We start from the raw sequence: 8,337 nt of genomic DNA, 5'->3' as shown, positions 1-8,337 counted from the left end.
TATGTTTTCCTTCCACTTGGATAAATCACTTACAAATACTCCCATTGTAATTAGACATTTATTTTACAGTGCAAAATCTATATGGGAATGATTATCTTTTTTTTTTTTTTTTTTGAGACGGAGTCTCGCTCTGTCGCCCAGGCTGGAGTGCAGTGGCTCGATCTCGGCTCACTGCAAGCTCCGCCTCCTGGATTCATGCCATTCTCCTGCCTCAGCCTCTCGAGTAGCTGGGGATTACAGGAGCCGGGAATCATTCTTAACGTGTCTCTGAAGTTCATTTTTATCATCAATGTAGAAGTACAGAAGTAAAGAAAAACAATTAGAAAAGATATTGCATGTTTAAACATAGTTATAAAGGGCCTGGCAGAGAAAAATGCTTTTATGAAAGCTTAGTTTTGTTTTAACGTGGGGCCAGGTATCAATTCACATATAGTACGTGTTTTTTTGTTTTAGGCCTTCAAAATTAGGCTTGAGCTCTATTTAATGGCATGGCAGGATGCTGTATTAATATAAGAAGTATTATTGTCATACTACTGATATAGATGTTAAGGTGAGCAGAAAGTTAGCTCCCAGACTATGGTTACATAAAGAATTAGTGAACAGAATGAAGGTGGTTTAATTCCCAAATCACTATTCCAATTACTAAGGATTAATACAGTCTTATTTTCTCTTTGTTCTATGGGTGTACTGCATGAATGTGCATTTGCTGAGGAGAACTTAAGTTACTCTGAGAGAAATGTGTGCTTCTTTATCAAACAAAAATCAAAGCTTCCTTCTTCAGTGTCATACTGAGAGGTGACTGTGCTGGCAGTCCTCAGAGCCCTCGCTCGCTCTCGGCACCTCCTCTGCCTGGGCTCCCACTTTGGCAGCACTTGAGGAGCCCTTCAGCCCACCGCTGCACTATAGGAGCCCCTTTCTGGGCTGGCCAAGGCCAGAGCCGGCTCCCTCAGCTTGCAGGGAGGTGTGGAAGGAGAGGCGCGAGTGGGAACTGGGGCTGTGCTGGGCGCTTGCGGGCCAGCTGGAGTTCTGGGTGGGCGTGGGCTTGGCGGGCCCTGCACTGGGAGCAGCCGGCCAGCCCTGCCGGACCCAGGCAATGAGGGGCTTAGCACCTGGGCCAGCGGCTGCGGAGGGTGTACTGGGTCCCCCAACAGTGCCAGCCCATCGGCGCTGCTCTCGATTTCTCACCGGGTCTTAGCTGCCTTCCCACGGGGCAGGGCTCGGGACCTGCAGCCCGCCATGCCTGAGCCTCCCACCCACTCCATGGGCTCCTGTGCGGCCAGAGCCTCCCCGACAAGCGCCACCGCCTGCTCCACAGCGCCCAGTCCCATCGACCACCCAAGGGCTGAGGAGTGCGGGCGCATGGCCTGGGACTGGCAGGCAGCTCCACCTGCAGCCCCGGTACGGGATCCACTGGGTGAAGCCAGCTGGGCTCCTGAGTCTCGTGGGTACCTTGGAGAACCTTTATGTCTAGCTCAGGGATTGTAAATACACCAATCAGCACCCTGTGTGTAGCTCAGGGTTTGTGAATGCACCAATCGACACTCTGTATCTAGCTACTCTGGTGGGACCTTGGAGAACCTTTATGTCTAGCTCAGGGTTTGTGAATGCACCAATCCACACTGTATCTAGCTACTCTGGTGGGGCCTTGGAGAACCTTTGTGTGGACACGCTGTATCTAGCTAATCTGGTGGGGAGGAGGAGAACCTTTGTGTCTAGCTCAGGGATTGTAAAGGCACCAATCAGCGCCCTGTCAAAACAGACCACTGGGCTCTAGCAATCAGGAGGATGTGGGTGGGAACAGATAAGAGAATAAAAGCAGGCTGCCCGAGCCAGCAGTGGCAACCCGCTCCGGTCCCCTTCCACACTGTGGAAGCTTTGTTCTTTTGCTCTTTGCAATAAATCTTGCTACTGCTCACTCTTTGGGGCCACGCTGCTTTTATGAGCTGTAACACTCACCGCGAAGGCCCGCAGCTTCACTCCTGAAGCCAGCGAGACCACGAGCCCACCGGGAGGAACGAACAACTCCAGACGCACTGCCTTAAGAGCTGTAACACTCACTGGGAAGGTCGGCAGCTTCACTCATGAGCCAGCGAGACCACGAACCCACCAGAAGGAAGAAACTCCAAACACATCCAAACATCAGAAGGAACAAACTCCAGACACGCCACCTTAAGAGCTCTAACACTCACCGTGAGGGTCCGCGGCTTCATTCTTGAAGTCAGTGAGACCAAGAACCCACCAATTCTGGACACAGTATGATGTATATTTTAATATTGTATATCAGCATTTTCCCAATTTTATTATAAGACCAATGATTATTTTAGTTTAAATAGAAACTAATGGTTATCTATCAACACATTTGGTATAGCATGGGACAAACTTTTTAATTACCATCTATGAACTGAGCTTGTTTTCCTCCTATTGTTGCTGGTCTCTGATCTTTCTAAATATTTATCAACTGCAATGTGAGGTCATTAATTTATAAAAACAAAATTTTGTATTTAAAAAATCAAACTGTAGCTTTATACTTACATGTAATTTTTTTAGCTAAGGATTCTTAAAAATCTCAAACCATAGCATTTTTTTATTTTACAAAATTAGCACGTATGTTAATAAACCAACATACTAGCAATGATATTAGTATAATCCATATATTAGGAAAATGAGTTTTCATGAATACATTAATATAACATTTCCAGAAATAGTTACTATTCCTTTATTCTAGGACTTTATAGATTTGAATGTTCTTCCAACAAACTTAAGGCATTTATCCATTTACAGAGAGCTTAGGGTTCTAATCAGAGCTGTGAGAGGTATTGCTAGGCCATACTATAAAGAAGGAGAAATGTATTGGTTTGGGGTTCCTTCTCCCATTTTACTAATATCTCTTTATATCCTTGGCAAACATATATTGTCATCTTGAAGTTATAATTCAATACATCAGGCAATAACCAGAAGGAAGAATAATTTTGGTTCAAATTTGTATTTTTGCTGAAAGCTTCTGACTCCATTTTTCTGGTTTGGTTAGTCTGCACACAAACTCTTATCTGGAGGAAGTGCTCTAACTAGAAGCCACCTGTTTGGTCTCCCTCATCTCTGGCAACTCTAGGTTGAATATTTGGTCTTAGTTCAACCAATCAAAATTTAAATTAGCCAGAGTTATTTTTGTTCTCTGAAAGCATTAAACCCAACTGGATTTAGACTTAGAGGTCATATACTTTATCATCATTGAACCCAGACTGAGACTGAATGGGGATGGTATTAATTATCATATCATGAGTATAAACCAAGGCTGTCCCGTGTAAACCAGATATGTGGCCACTCTACTTAAATGGTTACTTAAATGATTAGCTGACACCAGCTTAATATAGCTTCCTGGCAGAAGTTGAATTTTACATTGTGACTCTTGATTTGAAAGGCATTCAACATTTGAGGAAATGAATCTATAATGGTAATGCGACAATCATTAGTGCTGATATTTTAGAGCAAAGGTCCTCTCATAAATGAACTCTCGAATCACATGTAGGAGACCGCTTACCCAAATGATTCATAATGCTCTCTCTAGGGGCAGGGAAATTCCAGAGTACCCTTTTTCCCTCCAGAAATAATTAGACTTTGTTTAGCCCACTTGCTCTGCTAGTCCCACGTTTCCAGGGTGACACCACAGTGTTTCCTGAGGATTTCTTCTTCACCAGGCTGCAAAACTGATCATCTGGTGAAAAGGTAATTATGAGCTGAACTAGGAACCATGCCGGGATGTGAATGTCTAGTAACCACATAGTGTTTGCATTGTAACTAATGAATACTCCCTTGCCTAATATAACCCAACCTAACTACCCATAAAGCTTTGGGTAATTTTCACTTGACCCTAAACTTTGTGCATTTAGCTGCTTCTCTACCCATTACTGAATGATAACTCAACAAGAGAATAGTGAGCTTGAAGAGGAAAGGTTGTTCTCTCTGCAATATGTCATTTTTCTGCGTGGTGTTTTAATCAGAGAAAGTCATTTGTTTCAGTAAGTTCTCATTTACTTACCTAATTATCAGTTGTCATTTGGAGAAGAGCCAGCCCAAGAAAAAGTACTTCAAATATTTTTCGCCATTTGTCTCTTTTGTTTTTGTTCATAAATTCTCTTGTACAATTTTCGTCAGCATCCACTGTAAGGAAAAAGAAGGATAGTGAGATCACACCACTAAATGAATGGAGCAATTGAATGTGTCTTACTGGGTTGTAGGTTTCAGGAAAGTGTCTTATTTCTGCATCTCCAGCACCTACTGCCATACCTGTAGCATAGGAAAGTGTTCAACCAATATTTACTTCTTTCTGTATTCATATGCTTTGAGATGATTCCAGGTGGATGCAAAGGATGACACTTAAGGCAGCTGGGGAGGATATTTTGAGTGTATCATTCATAGTTAAAATATGCTATGGAGGTTGTTAAAATAATTTAATTTTCCAATAGAAGCTTTAGATATTACGGAGTCTGACTATGAGCATGTTACTAAGTAATAACAGACAATATTCAGTAGAACAGCAGTTTAGAGATTACATTCTCAAACACTCAGTATACATAAGCCTTTCACAATATGTCCTTAGTCAGAGTCCAAGCACCATGGAAACCATCCCTAAATCCAGACAAAGACGGGAAAGGAAAAGACATATATCAACACCATGGCCATTGGACGCATAGGTTCTAACAAGTTTAACATCACTGACCACTTGATGTATAAAAGTGATGGAATTAATATGAAGAGTAATAAGGAGTTTGAGGGAGGTCACTGAGATGACAAAGGAATTCTTTAGCTATATCTGGGTTTTGATAAAACCATATCATTAATATCTTCTGGGAAAATTTGAGATCAATGAGTGCTATGATGCCATCACTGAGGTTTTAGGATCCAAGGTCTTTGTTAAAAATATGGTTACATGCAAAGGTCAGTGAACCTTCCTGATTTCCTGATTATTGTTGCAGTTGATGGTGAACATAAAATTAGTATCTAAAAAAGTGGCTGACCAGAACTCTGTGAAAGTGCCCTCTCTTTTAGTGTTACTATTTACTATTTTTTAATGTATTACATTTACCCCCTCCATATGCGTGGTGAAGAAATGAGAAAATAAATATGAGATAACCATATCTTTAGGGTTTCTTGAGACATTTGACAAGAAGAATATTGGAGCTTCCCCAGAAAATTACAAAGACTGAATAATAATATCAATGCTAAAGGAAGAAAGAAGCATTTTATAGACCACCATGGTTGATGCTGTGGCAGTTTTAAGTTATTTATTTTTAAAAATCAAAACATTTAATAAGTAGGAAAAAGGATCACAATTCTGACACTAAATTGAGACCATTAAAACAAATTTAATATGATTTTTAAAGCACTCATCGAAAATGACATTGATGAAAACAACAAAAAAGGATTGAGTATTGATTGCATGCCTGCTCAGTAGTTTTTGTGTAATGTGTTGAACATTGTTATCTACCTCACAGGGAAAAAGGTATAACATCACACAATCCTCACACAAGAAACATCATCATAAGAGGTTGCTGCCATCCCTGTAGAGTGAGTGTGCTAAGGAGTCACTGATTTAATAGCCTAAAGACTGAATTATCCTCCTGCATCTGAAGCTGCTCTCTGTGGGTTAGGGTTTGTGGTCTGTGGATAAGGTAAGGAACTGGGGAAGAGGAAGGGAAACCACGTACAGCTGTCTGTGTTATAAATGCTGTGATGGCCAAACAGGAAACCTTTGTCTCTAAGGACTTGTAATCTGACACCTGTCAAGAACACTAAATTCTTTTTTAAAAAATAAAATGGGGCTAAATTGACCTCTTGTCTTAGAGGTTCCTAAAGGGAAGAAGAGAATAAAAATATGAAACTGTTAGAATCAATAGCTTAAGTCATTTTGCAGTATCTTGCTGAGTACGAAGACCTAGAGGTTGTTGCATCACCTTTTACTGATATTAAATGATTCCTTGGAGTTATTAAGTGCTAAAAGCCTTAACAGAGATCATTTTGGTTCTTTTGTAAAATAGAGTTTCCATACACTTTTTAAACCGTATTTACGCTTACATTTGTAATAAGTATGCAAAAGTCCAATAAAGACAGCTCACAGCAGAATAGCATTACACACATTTATCAATGAAAACTAAAAAAAGAAACAAGAACATAAGCTTCAGATAATATAACATAATGATTTACAAAAAATGCAAAATATTTTAAGTATTGATTAACTTAACAAACTTTTAACAAAAGCCTTTAAATGTTAAGCTACACTGGTAATCACTGAGAAATATTACGATGAAAAGAAATAAAGAAATAAAGGGACTTAGAGTCAGGTAGAAAAAACAAATAGTAATTAAAGTATGATACAAGAAAATGGAAATTTTAACTCTACTAATGGCCACAAAGGAATGGTAACTGGATCTTGGCTATCATATATAAATGTATATGGGGAATGTCAACCTGATCAGCAAGGTCATGGGAAACATCCCCAAGGAATGACCATGGCGGATGAGGTCTTATTTCAAAGTTGTGGTAAATGAGATGCGGAATTGGAGGATGATAAATGAAGACAATATTGCAAGACACAGTTAATATTACCTGTGAAGTTTTTGAGCTTAAGAATATGTCAGCATTAAACCAAGAAAACTTGATTGAGAGTCCAATTTTTTTGTGTTTTTGCCCACAAAATATATTGTGAGCAATGTTTTTGTTGTAGTTGTTCTACATACTTCAAATTGTTGTAGTTGTTCTACATACTTCAAATAACCATATTTGTACTAATGCTGGAGCTGACAGGATTCATAGGAAAACTGAAGGTAACATTCAGTAAAGACTCAAATGCATGGGACCCTGATCTGGGTTTTGCATGAACTCATGGACTTGTTTAGGCATAGAGTGGAAAGTAAACAGGTATAGGTCTTGATATTTGGAATTTAAAAATAATAAGACATTAAAATGCAATTAACATAGAAAAAATATATATAAAACAGTTCCATTAAATGTTATGTAGAATTATGATTTTAAAAAAGACGACCAGGCTGGGAATAAAAAATATTTTGTAGTTTAGTTACCTAGTTTAATATTGTGAAAGTAGTTTGAAAATCCTCATAAACTGTACAAATGCAAGAATGATAATAAAAATATAAACTGACAACTCTGAAGAAAATTCAAACGGGATCTTTCCTTTGTTCTGTGTTACTTTTATACAATAATGCATCCCCCTACATAGTCAGCTTCCTAAGTCAAAAATATAGCATTATCCTTGATTCTTAATTCTCATTCTATTGATTATAAAATCCTGTCAACCCTACTCTCTTAACAGCTCTAAATTTAATCAAACATCTCCATTAACAATTCCACTCTTTTACTATAGGTTCTCATTATTCCTTTTGTTTCTGTAGTGCCCCACTTCACTTCATTTGTCCTCCCTCAGATTCATTTTCCATTCTGTGACTAGCGTACACTTCAAAAATGATATTCTAATACTTTAACTCCCTTATTATATATTTCGGTGGTTCCTTATCTCTGGGATACAATTCAGTTTCCTTAGTGAGGCCCTAACTTGAACTTTGCCTACCTCTTCAGCTTTGTAGCCATACTTGGAACATGTGGCTCCTATGGTTGCTGGAGGAAGGGATGAGAGAACACGGAGAATGTGTACCTGTCTTTGTCTGTTCAGGACTATAGGAGACAGATAACTTCCCTTCAAATTCAATAGATGAAAATAAATTACATGAACCCTTCTAGATGCAATACTGTGGTCACTAAAACATTTCATTTTGCTACCTCTACAACTACATGACATTTCCAGATATATGAAATGAAATGGTTTGGTAAGGATATGGCATTTTCTCTGGACCAATACCAAAATATTTTAGTTTAAAATAACAAATTAATTCCCAGAAACTGAAACACATATGTTTGCATGAAATTAGCATATTTTCTCCCTGTAAGTAAGCAATCTGTAATATAATATGAAACATTTTTTAGAAGATCTTATTATGATTGAGTAATTTAATAAGAGAAAGTCATATTAGTAAAATATTTACTGGAGACTAAGACAACTTAGTAACTCCAATGGGGATGATTTTCCAATAAGACCAGAGATGTTAAAGTCTCTTAAATAAAATTCTGTTTCCATTGATGAACACTAAGGTCGATTCCATATCTTGGGTATTTTGAAAAATGATGTAGTGAACATGGGAGTGCAGATATCTTTTTGACATACTGATTTCACTTACTTTGAATACATACACAGTAGTAGGACTACTGGATCATATGCTAGTTCTATTTTTAATTTTTTGAGGAACCTCAATAATTGTAATACTAATT

The sequence above is a fragment of the Homo sapiens genome, chromosome 13, assembly GCF_000001405.40.
Source record: "Homo sapiens chromosome 13, GRCh38.p14 Primary Assembly".
NCBI classification, from domain to species: domain Eukaryota; kingdom Metazoa; phylum Chordata; class Mammalia; order Primates; family Hominidae; genus Homo; species Homo sapiens.
This window is presented reverse-complemented; position numbering follows the sequence as displayed.